We start from the raw sequence: 18,138 nt of genomic DNA on the forward strand, positions 1-18,138 counted from the left end.
ATCTGAAAGGCATCAAAAGAAAAAAGCTGTAACTTTTAGTCTTGATCTTGATAGTGACTTGATTAGGCTATCTGTTTAACATCAAAGATGCAAATTAATGCTTTCTTTGGGTGAGCATATTAAAAATGCAGAAAATATTGGAGTAGTTTTTTATGTTAAATAAATTGTATTCTGTGTATTTAAGGTATACAACATGATTTTGTGGGATGCATATAGATGGTTAAAAAAATTACTACAGTGAAGCAAATTAACGTATCCTTCAACTCAGATAGTTACCCGTTTTCTTTTTGTTTGGTGGCAAGAGGAGCTTAAAATCTCATTTAGCGTGAATCCCAATACAGCACAATTTTATTACCTATATTTCTCGCGTTGTACATTATATTTCTAGGCTTGTTCATCCTACATATCTGCTACTGTGTAACCTCTGAGCTATGTCCACCCATTTTCTCTCTTGCCCCCCAAGTAATTTCCTAAAGTGTCTCATATAAAAAGGCAGTAGCTTTCAGCTTAAACTTTTTCTCTGTATATATTTAAGTCAATTTCTTTGAGGTATGTTTTTCTCTCCAGAATAGTTAGATGTAGGCATACCACTTTAATGTTGACACTAGTTCACCTAGAACTTATCTTCTGCAAATCTGTCTCTATGTCCATCTCTGTCTCCATCTTTGTCTCTATCTTTATCTCTGTCTATCTATCTATCCATCCATCCATCCATCCATCCATCTATCTATCTATCCATCTATCTGTCTATCTAACTAAAGCAAATTCATGCCCTTCTCCTATTTATGGAATCGAGACCATAAACAGAAGTGAGGGAAAGAATTTGGCAGGAATTGCGATGTGTATTACCTGTGGCATAAGGAAACTTTACAGAACTAGGGTCAAAAGTATACTTTCTAGTTCTTTCCCATGGCTTTTCACTTTGATGTAGTCCTTATCAGGCAACTGAGGTTTTATATAAGTCCCCTGATTCTTAGAACATGAAGGTGTAGTATTCAAGTTTGGTCCCTTGAAAGCACAATTTTTGTTAAAAAAATTTAAGAAAATTGTATGATTTCCTCAGCAAATACATATTGATCATCTGTTATACAGCCATGAGAAGTGGTTCTGTTGAACACGTTTATTTTATCAGATCCCAATTCTAAACCAGGCATAGAATGGAAACCATGAAGGTAGGATGAAATAACTTCTGAATGTTTGAAAATAGTGTACTTAAAAATAAATATCAGGTGTTTTTGTTTTGTTTTTTGTTTTTTGTTTTTGAGACAGGGTCTCACTCTGTCACCCAGGCTGGAGTGTGATGGTGCCATCTCACCTCATTGCAGCCTTGACCTCCCAGGCTCGGGTGATCTCCCACCTCAGCCTCCCAAGTAGCTGGGACTACAGGCACATGCCACCATGCCCAGCTAATTTTTTGTATTTTTTGTAGAGACAGGGTTTCACCATGTTGCCCAGGCTGGTCTAGAACTCCTGGGCTTAAGCGATCTTCCCACCTCAGCCTCCCAAAGTGCCAGGATTACAGGCATGAGCCACCATGCCTGGCTGAAAATACCAGGTTTTTAAGTATCAGCACTGCCTCTTCAATCTTTTCTATTACTATGTTGTGCTCAGTGGTATTTTTTATTGAATTAGAGCAGTGCTGTTCAATGGAACCTTCTTTGAGGATGGAAATCTTTTATGTCTCTGCTGTGTGGGTATGGTATTAGCTGGGTATGGGGCACCTGCCTATAGTCCCAGCTACTCAAGAGGCTGAGGTGGGAGGATCACTTGAGCCCAGGAGGCCGAGTCTGCAGGTTCGTACCACTGCAATTCAGCCTGTGTGACAGAATGAGACTCAGTCGCAGAATAAAATGAAATAAGGAAATAAAAATGTAATTGTTGAAATAAGAAACTAGTGGATGGATTAGACACGAGAAGAAAGAATTAATTGTTTAGGCGATTCTCTCCAAAAAGTAAGTCAGCATGTCACACAGAGAGACATGAGGATAGATGATAGGGCAGAAGTTGGTGGGCTTGGAGGGGAGAGGAAGATCAGAATGAGGTCCAAAATGTGTCTTAGTGAAATCCCAGGAGGAGATATTAAAATTATATTAGAAAGTGAAAGAAATAGAAGTTTTATTTATTTATTTATTTATTTATTTTGAGAAGGAGTCTCGCTCTGTAGCCCAGGCTCGAGTGCAGTGGCACGATCTGAGCTCACTGCAAGCTCCACCTCCTGGGTTCACGCCATTCTCCTGCCTCAGCTTCCCAAGTAGCTGGGACTACAGGCACCCACCACCACGCCTGGCTAGTTTTTTGTATTTTTAGTAGAGATGTGGTTTCACCTTTTTAGTCAGGATGGTCTCAATCTCCTGACCTCATGATCCACCAGCCTCAGGCTCCTAAAGTGCTGGAATTATACGCATAAGCCACTGCACCCGGCCCAAAAGCTTTGTGTTTTTACAAATATTACACATGTTTCTTGTTTAAGAAAAAAAGTCTTCACAATAACGTAGGAGAATAAGAGAAACATTTTTCCAAAAAAGAGAAGTCATTGTGATTATTTTATCTTATTGGAATGTTGGATAATACAGTCTGCTTCAGTAATCATCAAGCATGCTATGGATTTTCCATTTTCATAGGATCTGTATCTCGGTTAAGGTAATACTGGTAATTTTTGTACTCTATGAAAAATATAGGCCAAAATCATAGACCTTGCATAGAAGCTGGATCATGAAGACAGCTCTGGAGGAACACACAGGTACACACACACAGACACACATATATATAAAGTATACACATATATATTTTTTAAAAGCTTTTAAAGCAAAAGCCGGCCCTGCCCCTCTCCCAGAGTTGGCGGCCTCTCCCCTCTCTTAGAGTGGGTGGGGACAGTGGTTGCATGGGCAGCTTTCCTTGTGAGCCAAAGGTCCCTCTGGACACATGATGCCTGGCCACGCCCCCTTTCCCTTTCATCTTTCTCATTAACCAATGGGCTTGGAGCATTAAGGCCACGCCCCTATTCTGCCTTCTACTGCATCCCTGGTTACGCCTCCTCTGGCTCAGTCGCACAGCTACCTGGTAGGTGACTGGAGGTGTTGATCAGTGCTTGGTGGGATTTTGCTGATGTGGCCCCAAGCCCGCCTCCCTCCCCACCCTGCGATGGCAGAAGAAACTCGACAAAGTAAATTGGCAGCAGCCAAGAGAAAGGTAAAAACACACCAGGTCACGGACCCCCAACCCAGCCATAGATCCTCTCCAACGACAAGACTGCTGCCAGAGTCCATACCACTCCCGAGGTTCACCGGACTGGGGCCCCCACACCAGTGCCTCTGGGCTACCCCCACCAAAGTTTTGCCAGTCAGCCCCACCCCTTCAGCAAGCAGCCCAGTCTCTGCCCTCACCAATCACCCCAGGGTGACTTTGGGCAGGTGAATCCTGGGGCTCCCCGCTCCTTTACTGGGCCCTCATCTCCTGCCACCCCAAGCTTGACCTCCCAGGGCTTTTTGGGCTCACATCTCCAAGGACCTGGGTCCCACAGCCCCAGACCCCACCCTCACCAGTCATCCCTGGGTGACTTTAGGCTGGTGAATCCTGGGGCTCCCTGCTGCTGACTCTTCCCTTCCCTCCTGCTGCCTCAAGGTGGACCTCCCTAGGCTGTGTGCACTGGCGTCTCCAAGGACCTGGGTCCCAGCTCTGTTTTTCCCTCCCCTATCATGGAGCGGTGACTCGGACATCATGCTGATGTGGTCCCTCCCCCTCACCAGGAAGAGTGGAATGTAGTGATGTCACGGTCCATCCAGTAACTGTCATTACTGCGAGACTGGCCTTTGATCTTATGACCCAGTCCCCTAAGCATTGCCACCCCATTTCTGGTTCCTCTTGTCACAGCACAAATTTCCAGCTGGAAGGGGAATGGAGATTGGGACCTAGGAGCAAGAGGTTTCAGGCTGCCTCACTCCCTTAACACAAACATTGACAGCGGGAAAAGCCTACACTTCCCCTGTGAGCTCAAAACATTGACAGTACCTCTGGATGGCAACTGGAGAATGGGTTTGACTTGGTTTGGTTTTCTCCCAGGCTTCTACTTTCCAGAGAGATTTTAACAAATTTTTTGTGAGTTCTCCACCTCACATTCTAATTCTCCATGGTTCTGGGACCAGACTGCCCTTCAGTCAGTGGTCTGTGAAGTGAGATTTGCTCATCTTCTGTGGAATAGATCTTGGGAAACTGAACTTGACAGCTTGAATCTTCCTCATATTATGTAAACCTGGGGTACTTTGAGTGCCACAGGATACATATGGGACATCTTTCTGAAGCATCAGTTTCCATTGATTCTCTTGAGATCAAGAGAAAAAACATTAATGTACTTAGGGATGACAGTCACATAGGTTTCTAACAGTATACCAGACTTCTCTCTGAAATGAGGCTTGGGTTGTCCTCTTTCTGATAAATTCCCAGATTTAACAGAAAGGCTGCCTTCTGCCATGAGGACACATTGATATAAGAGTTTGAGAGGTACAGGTGCACTTCTTCACACTAACAGACGTGTGAGGATGTATGACTAAACCACATGGCATACAGTTCCTGCCTACTTAATGTTTACTTTTCTAGCTCTGCCTCTGGTTTTGGTCCCTGGCAGCTGATGATTCTTGGTAAAACCCCAGAGTTTGGAGTCAGAAGACTGAGTTTCAAAGTTCATCTGTCGCCTTTTTCTTTTCTTCTTTTTTTTTCTAGCCATGATATCAATCTCTTTGAGTCACTAAATGATTGTGACAACACCTTGTACAGTTGTTGGTATCATTAAATCAGATGGTGTATAAGAGTATTTTATAAAAACTGTAAAGGAGGATGTGGCTGCAGGGGCTGATAGTTCTCATGAGTATTACTGCTCTTGTTTCTGACAGTTAAAAGAATATTGGCAGAGAAACAGCCCTGGTGTTCCAGCAGGAGCCAAGAGGAACAGGAAAACAAATGGCAGCATCCATGAGACAGCCACTTCTGGTGGTTGCCACTCACCTGGAGATGTGAGTCTTGGCTGACTAGGTTCCTGGGGACAGGGGACCCAAGGGGCACTAGAGGGTAATTGTTAAGATTGTGGATGGACTGTTGGGTACCTGTGAAGAATTCTGGGTTTGAATCCTGCCTCTTTGTCTGCTAGGGATATGAATTAGGGCAAGTTGCTAGACCTCATCGGGCCTCTCTTTTCACATCTGTATAATAGAGGTGGTATTGTTTCACTTCCATTTGTGAAGTTTAAATGAGATTTGTTATTGTTGTTTTTATGTTAATCCCTAGTACATGGCCTGCTGTAAACACCCAGAACACCCAGGATATGGTCATTGCTGTTCGATTTTCCTCATCCCCAGTCTCAAGGGGAAGCCAGGACAATGAGAACAGTCACTTGGCACAGGAGTCACTGAAAGGGCCGCAGGGTGCTGTGGTGGGGAGATAAGAACCATGAGAGAAGTTGGCACAAAGGAGTTATGGGACAAAGGGTCCAAGATAGGCAGAAAAGAAAATTGTGCCAGTTGATGGGGAAGAAAAGAAGTCAGAGGGCTTAGATACTGAGTGGGACAGAACATCTTCATGTGCACTCTCATCTCTTGTAGTCAGCAACAGGTATCCACGGGGAGAGCCCTACATCATCTGCTACCCTGAAGGATCTGGAGGTAAGAGGCTCTGGGCAGAGGTGCAGTGACCCTGCAGGCCAGCCCTCCAACCTCCTCCTCCAGGTGGGACGGGGTGCCCCTCTGCCAGCTGAGACAGTCCACACACACCCCAGCCCTAATGATTGTTCTCTCTACCTCTCCCCCCACTCCTCCTCCACCTCCTCCTCTCTGCATGCGCCTCAGAGCCCGTGCCAAGAACTAGCAGTAGTCCCAGACTCGAGGTCCGTAAAAGTCAGTCAACTGAAGAACACCATCAAATCTTTGGTAAGAGTCCACTGGGGTCCCCTGATTCCACGCTGCCAATCCTGGGCTCTAGTTTCCCCTTGGGGCCCTGAAGAAAGGGGACGGCGGCCCCTGGTGCCAAGGGCGAATAGGGAGCTGGGGCGCCCAGGCCTCACCTGGAGGGACCCCGGAGCATGCAGCATGGCTCTTTTTTTGCTGCCCTGTTTGCTGACTCTCCCCTCTCCAGATGCCCCTGCTCGAGTCCTTGCTACACACGCCCTGGGATTGTTGCCTCTTGGGGAAGTGCTAGCCTGACTGGTTGTCAGGGTCCCTGTATTTCTGCCATGACTCAGTCCCTAATTTGCTCTTTGATTCTGGACAAGCCACCTCTCCTTTTTGGGCTCATGTTTCCATGAAGTAGTGAGTATCAAAGGTCTCTGTTAGCTCTCGAGTCTGAGATTTAAAGGCCTCCTAGAATGGAAACCTCAGGGCCAAAGGCTCCTGTCTGTCCTTTTCCACCCTAAATCTTCTGTGAAGAACCGTACTTGGCCCATACGTGCTCAGTAAATGTTTATTGAATGAATGCACTTTTCTAAATCACAAGCTGGCAGAAGGGGGGGCCTTTCTCAAACTCCATCTCTAGAGGTTTATATTGCTGTCCTCTCAAGAGATTCCAGATTCAGACCTTCAGTTCTGTGGCTGTGGGCAAAAGCCAACAAAGACCCAAATCCTCTGTCCTTGGGAGCTTGAGGAGAGTTTACCAGTTCGAGTTCCCACTGGGTCTGAGAACTTTGCCTTTAAAATCCATTCCTGGTCCCTGCCTACCACTTCCTGCTCTGGGGAATAGAGTTGAGGGGGCCACCCTCCATCACCTTAATGTGACTCTCCCCACAGAAACAACAGAAGAAACAAGTGGTACATCAGCTGGAAGAAGTAACATGATTTCTTTGTTTGCTCGCGACATGACTGCTCGGTTTGGGGGACACTCAGATGTAGAGGCCCCGAGTCTCGTCTCACCCACTCCCAGCCTGGGGAAGAAGGCTCACCCCCCAGAGTCCACCCCATCCCCCACAGGGTCTCTGATAACCCGGTCCCATGGGTGGGCCTGTCCCGGGGCAGGGGCAGTGGTGGCATTCTGGGGACATGTCTCTTGCAGTACCATCTCTGCCTCTGCCTGGTTAGATCTCTGTCTTCCTCTTCCTACAGGAAAAGAAAGCAAACAACGAGAAACAGAAAGCCGAAAGGGAGCTAGAGGTGAGTGGACGGTGTGCAGTTTTCTCCTGTCCTCCGGAGAATGTTTCTTTCCTTCTCTTTCAGCACTTGCTTGGCTTTTCTCCCAAAGGTTCAAATCCAGAGATTGAACATACAGAAAGGGAAACTAAATACGGACCTGTACCACACGAAACGTTCTCTCAGATACTTTGAAGGTGGGAATCTGGGTACCCTGTCATCCTTCAACCTGGCACTTTGACAGGTCTTCAGGGGGAGTCCTTTGGGCCCCATCTCAACTCTCTCATTACAGAAGAGTCCAAGGATCTGGCCGTCCGTCTGCAACATTCATTGCAGCGTAAAGGAGAGTTAGAGCGGGCTCTCTCTGCTGTCACCGCCACACAGAAGAAGAAGGCGGAGAGGGTGAGTCCAACCACCTGCCCCGTCCCCTGGGAGCCTGGCTTTGCAGACAGAGGAGTGAGCCTAAAGGTCCCTTCTGCAGGATGGAGTGTCCTGCCCAGAAGGCAGCATGGCCATTTCTCACTGCTTTTTTGTATGGTTGTTAGCGGCAGCTTGGGACTGAGTCAGCTGCTGTGGGTGAGTTGGGGGGCACTCTGGGGACAAAGCACAGGACGTAGAGCTTGGAGGCCAAGTGCCTGCCATGCCTTTACCTGGCTGTGGTCTTGGCCAAGTCCTCAGTGGGTATTGGGTACTTGTACTGTGAAGGTACAGAAGAGTACCTTTAGTATGTTACCATTTCTGTAGAGAGAGGAAACGTGTGTGTGTGTGTACATATTATGATAATATACATAAAATATGTTTGCAAGTGTTCATAAAAACTCAGGAGAGAGCAACAGGGTGGCTGGGAGATACTTCCCTTCTGTACCTTCTGAGTCTGGGACTATTTGAATGTATTATCCTTTCAAAAAGTGAACAAAAGATTAATTTTCCCCTTCCTAGCTGTGCCCCCACCCCCAGCAAGAAAAATGGGCTTAGAGAATTGGATAGATCTGGGTGTTTAAATCCCAGCTCTGCCTAAGTGATCTTAGGCAAGCACTTAACCTCAAATACTCCATGTTTTTTCATCTACACAATAGAGGTCATCATAGTAACTGTCTCCCATGGTGGTTGTGAGGATTAAATGGGATTGCTAGCATGGTATCTGGTGAAGCACTCCATAAAAGTTCAAACAGTGGTAATAATAACAGTAATAACAACAGCAATATTATCTGATCTCTCTGGGCCTCTGTTAGCCAGCTATAAATTCGATCTCTTTCCCTGTCCCTTCCAACTTTACTGAGTTCTTTAAAAACCAAACCACGGGCTTGGAAATGCCTTGATCTTTACTGACCGAGTTGTATATTGGGCCTAGCCCTGGCCCTTTTAAGGGGCACTGTGTGGAATGGCCCGGCCTCCCCAGATTGAAACTTCTCACTCTTCAGCAGTTCTCCAGCCGCAGTAAAGCACGTACGGAGTGGAAGTTAGAGCAGTCCATGCGGGAGCAGGCACTGCTGAAAGCGCAGCTGACACAGGTGAGGTGTTCAGAGGGAGGGATGTGGAAGGAAGATGACCCCAGGTAACCAGGAGCAGGTGAGGACCAGTGACAGCCCTTCCTAATTTCTGTGCCCATTCTTGCAGTTGAAGGAGTCACTTAAAGAAGTCCAGCTAGAGAGGGATGAATATGCTGAACATCTAAAAGGAGAGAGGGCCCGGTGGCAGCAGAGGATGAGAAAAATGTCGCAGGAGGTGAGATCTGACCCTTCAGCCCCCCCACATTAGATAGGTCACTGGATCTTTCTGGGCACCTGTAAAATGGGAATAGTAGAGCCAGAGGTGGTCATGGGACTGGGCTTTGTGGAGGTGGGGGCAGAGAGGGAGAGGGCAGCCTGTCCAGCCTCCAGCCCCTCTCTCCAGGGCCCTTTCCCCCTGTGCTTTGGGCAGGTTTGCTCGTTGAAGAAGGAGAAGAAGCATGATAAATATCGGGTAGAGACGCTGGAGAGGAGCTTGTCCAAACTCAAAAACCAGATGGGTAAGATGGGGCTGGCGTGACCTGGCAGCAGGACTGGCATCAGAGGGCTGTGAGGGTGGCTTGGAGTGCCCCAGCGAGGTGGGTGGATGGAAGGGCTTTGAGGCAGAGGGAAAGAGGTCTGTGCCAGGAGACGGCAAGTCTTGTCATCTCAATGAGCCTCAGTGTCCCCATCAGCAAAGAGGGCCCGTTGTCAGCCACCCGCAGTGCTCTTTCTCTGAAAGTGCTTTGGAAGACTGGCTACCATCTGGGTGCGAGGAATCATTAGCAGTGAGGCCAAGTTTGAGGAGCCGGAGAGGAGCTGTGCGCCAAGAGGAGGGTTTTTTCTTTTCTTTTCTTTTCTTTTCTTTTCTTTTCTTTTTTTTTTTTTGGAATCCAGAGGCTCTTATTGTCTGCTTCCTTTCTCAGCTGAACCTCTGCCCCCGGAGCCCCCAGCAGTGCCCTCTGAGGCGGAGCTGCAGCACCTGAGGAAGGAACTAGAGAGAGTGGCAGGAGCGCTCCAGGCCCAGGTGGAGTACAATCAGCGCATAAGTCTCCTGAATGAGGGGCAAAAGGAGAGGCTTCGGGAGCAGCAGGAGAGGCTTCCAGAGCAGGAGGAGAGGCTTCAGCAGCTGGCCGAGCCACAGAACAGCTTCAAGGAGCTGGTGCGTTGCCCCAGCTGGGGAGCCTGCCCTCCTCCCTAGCCCTCCAGGCCTTTGTTTCCCCACCTATAAAATGGGGCAGTGTAGCCCTCAAGTGAAATGTTACTCCTAAAGGCACCTGTGAGCCAGAGCCCTGCTCTGGTGGCTGTGGGAGACAGGGGATGATTTTTCTAACCTGCCTCCACCCTTCCCGGTGCCATGGGAGGCAGTCACCAAGTTCTGGGGTCTCCAGCTGCAGTGGGTGGCTGCTGATTGCTTCTCTCTGTCCAGAACAATGAGAACAAGAGCGTACTACAGTTGGAGCAGCAAGTAAAGGAGCTGCAGGAGAAGCTAGGCAAGGTGAAGGAGACGGTAACCTCCACCCCATCCAAGAAGGTCTGGGAGGTGGGTGGGCACCAGCCTCTGGGGAGGGGAGGTGCCAGGCCAGCGGTAGCTCCAGCCCAGGGGCAGGTGACCCCAGCACCCTCCAGGGCAGTCCTGTGGCTGTTTCTTGCTTCCTGCCCTCTGATTTTAGAGGTGGGTAGCCCTGGGCTCCTCCCAGGTCTGGACATCATCATTCCAGCTAGAGACATGGAGCCCCCCCAATCACAGGGGAAGAGACAGAGTGGTATAACAGTCTTCTTATGCCAGATGCGGTGGCTTACGCCTATAGTGCCAACACTTTGGGAGGCTGAGGCAGGAGAATCACTTGAGGTTTGGAGTTTGAGATCAGCCTGGCCGACATGGTAAAACCTCATCTCTACTAAAATTACAAAAACAAAAAACAAAAAAAGAAAGAAAAATTAGTGGGGCATGGTGGTGGCGCATGCCTGTAATCCCACCTACTCAGGAGGCTGAGGCACGAGAATTGCTTGAGCCCAGGAGGTGGAGGTTGCAGTGAGCTGAGATTGCACCACTGCACTCCGGCCTGGGCCACAGAGTGACACTCTGTCTCAAAACAAAACAAAAAGACTCCTTAGATTAAAACTGGATTCCAGCCTCAGTTCCACTGGTCACCATTCAAGTACTTCGCATCTCTAAGTCTCTGTTTCTTTAACTTCAAAAGGAAGTTAGCATTTTCCTTACAGAGGTGCTGAGGATTAAATGAGATAATACATGGGAAGCATTAGGCCTGTAGCACATTTAGCAGATGGTGGTTGGCTCCCACTACTTTTCTACCATTCTGTGGCCTACAGTTGAAATGGTGGGAAGAGGACATGAGATTTGAGGCTGGGGAAGGAGGCATGGGGTTCTAGGAAAGCAAGGCAGTCACTTAGGCCTGAAGTAAGGGGCCAGGGGCCTGGGCAGGCGACAGAGCCCCACAGTGCCCTCGCTACCCTATTAATGGGCCCAGAATCTGCAAACCAGCCACCATGTGCCCTCACACCCAGGGTCTTCCTGCAGGTGGAGCTGAAGAGCCAAGAGGCTCAGAGTCTGCAGCAGCAGCCAGACCATTACCTGGGTCACCTGCAGCAGTACGTGGCCACCTATCAGCAGCAGGTGGCCGCCTATCAGCAGCTGACCTGTGAGAAGGAGGCGCTGTACAGGCAGTGGCTGCAGCAGACCCAGCTAATGAACCAGTTGCAGCAGCAGGAAGCTTGGGGCAAAGCGGTGGCCGAGATGGCCTGCCAAAAGTTGCAGGAGGCCCAGGGGAGGGAGCTGCCGAGGATGGGGCCGTGAGGGGGACGACCTGGCAAACTCTGTGCCTTCTCACTCTTTCCTGGCCCCTTAGGAGCGTCTGGAAGCTGCCAGCCAGCAGAAACAGCAGCTAACGGCCCAGTTGAGCCTCATGGCTCTCCCTGGGGAAGGTACGGGAGACCGCTCAGAGGAAGAGGAGAGAGCCCCAGGAGGAAGGGGGGACTGCTAGCAGCATAGGATTGAGGAGTTGGAAGAGACCTTTAGAACAGCTGGTCATTATACTAACCGGGTGCCTGCACTAAGTTCAGCATCAATATGGTGACCTCCTGGGAGCGGGGGGCCACCAAGTTGCCTAAGGATGGCTGAACTGGCCGAGGTCAGAAAGGGAGCAGGTCAGAACTCCCGCACCGACCAGTAGTGGGAATGTGCCTGGGCAGTATAGCAAGATCTTGGTTCTTCAAAGTAAAAATAAATAACAGCAGCTCATTCCTCTCTGGGGAGGGGCTGGCTCAGGGTTACACAATGAGGGTGGAGGTAGAGGTGGGCCCACAATACTTCCCTTGTTGAGTTGTCTGAGGACCCCTCTGGCCACCACCCCCACCCCCAGGAGATGGAGGAGGACATCTGGACAGTGAGGGGGAGGAGGCACCTCGGCCCATTCCTAGCATCCCACAGGACCTGGAGAGCAGGGAGGCCATGGTGAGCCTGACTCCCCCTGCACCCATTTTGCCACCTTTCTCTGTGGTCCCTCCAAGACCCCTTTATGCTCTTCGTTTCCCTGCCTTCTGATTTCTCTGGACCCTCACCCCTTCCGAGAGCCAGTGGTCAGACACCATTTCACCTGTGACCAACATGTGCAGTCTCTGGGGCCCCAAGGGAAGGGGCTGCGCTCCACCTCTCTGCCCCATTTCTTCTGTGTATGCCCCTAGAAGAATGCTCACATCTTGCCCTCAGGTGGCATTTTTCAAGTCCGCTGGAGCTAGTGCCCAGGAGAAGCAGGCACAGTTACAAGAGCAGGTGAAAGAGCAGAGGGTGGCTGCCAGCGCCTGGCTCACCTGGTGGCCTCGGCCCAGAAGGAGCCAGAGGCAGCCAGAGGCCCTGGAGCCCCAGGGCCTGGGGGCGAGTCTGTGAGTGGGGAGACCCACTGGGCCCTGCAGGAAGTCACGGAGAAGCTGGCCCATGCCAGGACTCACCTCCACCTTCTCCATGACTTGAAAATGCCACCTGAGGGCAGGTCGCTGCCGAGATGTGACTACAATATTTTGGCTCCAGAGCAGCTTTATGGACCACCTGGAGGAGAAGGCAGACCTGAGTGAGCTGGTGAAGAAACAAGAACTTCGCTTCATTCAATACTGGCAAGAGAGATGCCATCAGTGAGTGGGAGGCCAGGGCACAGCAGGGGGAGCTACAGGGCCGTCGGAGGGGCCCCAGCGTCTGAGCCCTGTCCTCCCGCAGGAAAATCCATCACCTTTTATCAGAACCAGGGGGCCGTGCCAAAGATGCGGCACTGGGAGGAGGACACCATCAGGCTGGAGCTCAGGGAGGAGATGAAGGTAGGGTGTGCAACATCTCTGTGGGGGTGGGGGTGGGGGTGGGTGTGAGGGTGGGCGCAGGCAGCGGCATGGCAGCTGAGCACCCCTCCCTCCAGATGAAGCTGCTGGAGCTGCAGCAGATGGTATTGCGGCTTACAGCAACTACAACAATGGGCACAGAAAATTCCTGGCCGCTGCCCACAACCCTGCTGATGAGCCCGGTCCAGGAGCCCCAGCCCCCCAGGAGCTTGGGGCTGCAGACAAGCATGGTGGTGAGTAGAGCCCTCAGGTGGGGTGGGCAGGCAGGAAGAGGGGGCTCCCACTGTGCTCAGATCCCTGCCTCCCTCTCTCCAAAGATCTTTGTGAGGTGAGCCTCACCTCCTCTGCCCAAGGAGAGGCCAGGGAGGATCCTCTCCTTGACAAGCCTACTGCACAGCCGATCGTGCAGGACCACCAGGAGCACCCAGGCTTGGGCAACAACTGCTGTGTGCCATTCTTTTGCTGGGCTTGGCTGCCAAGAAGAAGGAGATAAACATCACCATCATCAAAGAGCTGCTCAAGAAATTTTTAAATAAGAAACCAAGTTATGGGGTTAATCTCCTACACAATTCATTTACTTCCTTTGAATGTTAGAGTCACTCATGATTATTTGTGTTTCTAATTTATAGTTTTAAGTTTATTTGTAAAAAGTTAAAAGAGAGTGGGTGTCTGTGGCTCTCACTGATGTTCACTCTGGCATCCTTTAGCATTTTTCTTTTTTAATTTCATAATTGTAGGTCATTAGCATGCATATCGAGTTTGCCCTTACGTGGTGGGGGTTCAAACACACAAAGACCCACTCTTTGCCCAAAACTGTTCTCGCTGGTTTGGAATAGGCTGCCATGCTTTTTTAATGTTATTGCAGCATGTATATTCACTACAGAATTCAGACAAAATTTGCCTATGTTCTGCTGTTGTTTGATCTAATCTTAATCACAGTGAGCTCTTCGTTAGCTCAATATGTAGTTTGCCCCCAAGCGTGCACTGTTTATTACTTTGTAATATGCCACTATGAGTACTGACATTTAGAGTTGTTTAAAGGCCAAGAACTGGAAACAGCCTTTCCTCCATTTTCTGTGTATTGGTGATGGGAGTGAAACCTTTTGAGGGAGCTTTTTAAATCTCACAGAAGAGGAAAGTGGCCTCCTCTGGCAGGTATGTCCAGGATAGAGTGTGTTTCATCTGTTCCGGTGCCAGGAATTAGCAGTGTATTATGGTGGTTCCCTTAGGATTTGTATGTGCTCTGGGCTCATGAAGATACTGCATCATGAGCTGCAGCAGTTGTACTCTTTTTCAATGACCTAAAAAGGGCTTATTTCTGAGGAATGAAAGGTTCCCATCGTTGACTGTGGATGTGGAAAACCTTTCCTAGCTTAGAGCATTTGTATCTACAATACATTTTAAACTCAGAGTTCATGTTACCTGTTTTAATCACATGACTACATGTCCCAGTACACAAAAGGGCACTGGTTGGCATTCTTCTTAATGTATTTAGTAAAGATCATAAGAAATCCTTTACGAGTTCAAATGTCCCTGGAACAGGCATACAGGCTCTAGTCAAGAATGAATTAGAGTGAAGGAAAGCTGTGTGACACCTGGCATTCCTCTCTGTTCACGGAGATTCTTTGAGGCTTGAAGATTGATTTTACCATCTAGACCTCTTTGGCTAATACCTATTCTTCAACCACCTTGGTTACTCTGACATAGGAATTTACTTCTTTTTCCTTGAATGGAAAACACTTTAAAAAATAATAGAAACATTATTATAAACTAATATATGTGAGATACTTAGTTGAAACAAAAGGGAGTTTTAGTAGACGGTATTATACTATCTTTGAAAATCAAGGAGAAGTTTATGAAACTTAAAATGTGTACAAACTGCAGTGCAATCTACTGTTCGTGAATGTCAATGTATTATCAGGAAACGTGCCTATACAATCACAGAGTTATATTTTCTCACAGACTTCTTTACAAAGTGAAATATGTTTTTGTATCTCTGGGTTTCTGTTCGGGACATATTTTGTGCAATATTTATGTGATTGTGCCTATGCATGATGAATGAATGCATTTCAGTTATGTATTGCCTAAATCGTAACTTGATGATGCTTGGGAAAGACTCAACAGTTAAAACTTCATGAAGTTCTAATGTCTGTGTTCCAAAACACATCACATTGTTAGGATGCAGGGAGATAGGTGTGTGTGCTCCCTGCGGTGGGGATTTCTAGTTACTAGATCATCTCCATTTTTAGCATTTGGCATCCTCATGATACTTCTATAAATATGACATTAACAGGAGAGCAACAATACGATTTTACCGATGGAATAACAGATTTGCTGGCATTCACTGAAAGAGTGCAAATATTCGGTCCTTGTGACTTCAACTGACTCTTCCAAATTTTATGAATGTATCAATGTATTAGATAAACCCAGTTTCAGAATGATAAAGAAAAAATGTTAGACCAAATAATGCGGCTAATTAACAGTGGTACGATTTCTAGCCCGTGGGTTTAAAATGCACTTAAAGTCCTGTTCTCGCCTTTTATTTTCTGAACTTGCCGCTTTTGCATTCTTTGAGTTCAGTTTAAAGACGGTTACTTTAAGAGCATTTTAAACCCTCGGGCTAGAAATCGGACCACTGTTAATCAGCCACATTATTTGGTCTAACGTTTTTTCTTTTATCATTCTGAAACTGGGTTTATCTAATACATTGATAAATTATTTCAAAGGTACTTTTATCGTTGAAATCACTTCACTTTTACCCTGATAAATATCAGTGACTAGGAATGACCTTCGGATAGCGTTTAGCATCTGTAACCAATCTGACAATAATGTGTTCATGAGGTGCCTATGGATTAAATCACACACTGGCATATTTAAGCTGAAGGTCAGTCTGGAAAATAAATTTACTATATTGACTGAAATACCACTCTTTGTGTAGGTATTTGTCATATATTTAAGAAAAAGCTAAAAGGAATGGAAATTGTATGACAATAACTTAAGTCTTTCTCCAAAGTGCATGCAGTCTTTTGCGATACCTCATTCAGCCGAGTATTTGTGCTCTTCCTCATTCGGTATAAGGCAGCTTTCAGTTTGCTTAGAAGGCAACATTGGAATGTTAGAGTTCATCAGAAACATAGAATTTTAAAATGTGAGTTCCACTGAATACATTTTAATTTCTGTAGGAAGAATCAAAACACCTATTTAAAGATGGCAATATATAATAATCATTTTAAAAGTATTTGATTAAACCTGATAATTTTCCAGAAATGAAAAAAAAATCAGCTCTAAAACGAAAGCTGATTTTAGAAAATTTGAAAATGTAAATCAGCCCTATCCATAATATAGTTTCTCTAAAACTTTATCTTAGAGTCATTTTAAAATAATATAACTATTAAAAATGTAACTGCTATCTTAATGTTCTGAAATAAGTTAAAACATTTTAAAATATGAATACTATAGTATAAAAGAAAGAAACAGTGGGAAGGAAAAGCAGAGAAAGAAATGCCAATTCCAGTCCAAAGCTTTATTTGCCAAGTTTTGTTAGAATGAATTTTACCAGTTTGTGAATTCTTGTAAACAGAATGTGTAATGGAAATACTGAAAGATTTTTCCCTAGAGTGGCCTTATTGACTGCTGGTGTGATGCCACTGTAATGTAATAAATCATTAAATTGTTTCTAAGTGTTGTTTTTGCCTTAAAATTTTATTTTGTGTTTCTTGAAAACTATAGTATTAAAGGTATTGATACTGTGCAAATGCTGGGCATGCTTGACATGAGATAATGTGTTTCATTTTTACAAAATTGTAATACAACTATGCAAGTGTTTATTAAAAACACAAAATAAAAAAGTTATGGGTTTTTTTATTAAAAAACTTTTATTAAAGTTTTATAAAAAGTTATTTTATTAAATAACTTTTTATTAAAAATGGTTATGGGGTGAAAAAGTTATGGGATAAAAAATGTAAAAAAGTTGTGGCAAAAAAACTTCTGGGAAAAAAGTAGAAAAAAGTTTTATGAAAAGTTACAAAAAAAGTTATGAAAAAGAAGTTATGGGATTTTTTTAAAAAGTCATGGAATAAAAATAAAAATTAAAAGCAGGCCCCTGTCAGCAAAGCCTGGAGAAGTGGGGCCGGAGTCTCCACCGCCACCATGTCCCTACCACCTCTTCCCAGGCACCCCTTTACAATTAGGGTAGCAGGACAAGACCTCTGTCTAATGGGGAAAGACAAACAGACCATTTGCCACCTTGACCAGGGCTGAGTCCCTAAATTTCTGGATGATGATGATTGTTACTTAAAAGCCAGAGGCTGGTGGAGTTGGTTTGTTTGGAGGAGGCCTGATGGTCCCCTTACTCTCACCATGGCAACGTTTCCCTCAGGGGGGCTCCCATCTTCTTATTCAGAGAGGTAGCTGAGGCCAGAAAGCGGGGCTAACTGTGGACCAGCGAGGGCATGGGCTGCTGGGGTGGCCCACCTTCCCCGGTGTACATACTGTGTCTGTGTAACATTTTGTATATTCCAGAGGGTAGGGCTGCCCCTGTATCATACCTAGCAGAGGTTGGAGCTGGCACATGGGGAGGAGGTTCTAATAATTATTTGTGGCTGGGAAACTTATTTATTGCTAGCGCAGGACAGAGGAAAGAGGCGGGGATGGGGTCGTGGCTCTCTGGTGGTATGATCACAGCTTACTGCAACCTCCAACTCTCAGGCTCAAGTGATCCTCCCACCTCAGCCTCCCAGGTAACTGGGAGTATAAGCATGCACTACTATGCCTGGCTAATTTTTAAATTTTTTTGTAGAGAAAAGGTCTTACTATGTTGCCAATGCTGGTCTTGAACTCCTGGCCTCAAGCAATTCTCCCATCTTGGCCTCCCAAAGCACTGGGATTACAGGCATGAGACATTGCCCCTGTCCATTAGGTTTTCTCTTTATTACTGTTTTGTTGTTGTGGTTGTTGTTTTGTTTTATTTTGTTTTGTTTTTTTGACAGAGTCTTGGTCTGTTGCCCAGGCTGGAGTGCCGTGGTGTGATCTCGGCTCACTGCAACTTCTGCCTCCTGGTTCAAGCAATTCTCATGCCTCAGTCTCTCGAGTGCCTGGGGTTACAGGCATGAGCCACTGCGCCCCTGGCTAATTTTTGAATTTTTAGTTGAGACAGAGTTTTGCCGTGTTGGCCAGATTGGTCTTGAACTCCTGCCTCAAAC

General features: G+C 46.8%; 1 protein-coding gene, 1 long non-coding RNA gene and 1 pseudogene across 3 annotated transcripts; 2 read left to right on the plus strand and 1 right to left on the minus strand.

The window, feature by feature from the left end:
• The first annotated feature begins 3,043 nt into the window (after window positions 1–3,043).
• Window positions 3,044–16,785, plus strand: GOLGA8S (golgin A8 family member S). 2 transcript variants are annotated; one of them, NM_001395373.1, is made up of 19 exons: window positions 3,044–3,189; window positions 4,887–5,006; window positions 5,592–5,651; window positions 5,835–5,915; window positions 6,768–6,806; window positions 7,080–7,127; window positions 7,216–7,300; window positions 7,396–7,505; window positions 8,525–8,614; window positions 8,721–8,828; window positions 9,024–9,111; window positions 9,517–9,752; window positions 10,020–10,088; window positions 11,461–11,536; window positions 11,974–12,065; window positions 12,639–12,739; window positions 12,822–12,919; window positions 13,015–13,170; window positions 13,255–16,637. In NM_001395373.1, the coding sequence occupies exons 1-19, from the start codon at window positions 3,106–3,108 to the stop codon at window positions 13,428–13,430; spliced, it is 1,917 nt and encodes a 638-aa protein (NP_001382302.1). In that variant the 5' UTR covers window positions 3,044–3,105; the 3' UTR covers window positions 13,431–16,637. The 2 variants fall into 2 exon arrangements, with proteins under 2 accessions (NP_001382302.1, NP_001342394.1); NM_001355465.2 differs by having other exon boundaries at window positions 6,768–7,127; window positions 13,255–16,785.
• On the minus strand, window positions 9,768–13,365 carry LOC105370726 (uncharacterized). The gene is made up of 3 exons (XR_931975.3): window positions 13,277–13,365; window positions 12,560–12,656; window positions 9,768–10,011 (listed from the first exon to the last, which is right to left on the minus strand). It is a non-coding gene; the product is annotated as an uncharacterized LOC105370726 (long non-coding RNA).
• Window positions 11,568–11,857, plus strand: RN7SL536P (RNA, 7SL, cytoplasmic 536, pseudogene; annotated as a pseudogene).
• Window positions 16,786–18,138: the final 1,353 nt, after the last annotated feature.

The sequence above is a fragment of the Homo sapiens genome, chromosome 15, assembly GCF_000001405.40.
Source record: "Homo sapiens chromosome 15, GRCh38.p14 Primary Assembly".
In the NCBI taxonomy this organism is placed as follows: domain Eukaryota; kingdom Metazoa; phylum Chordata; class Mammalia; order Primates; family Hominidae; genus Homo; species Homo sapiens.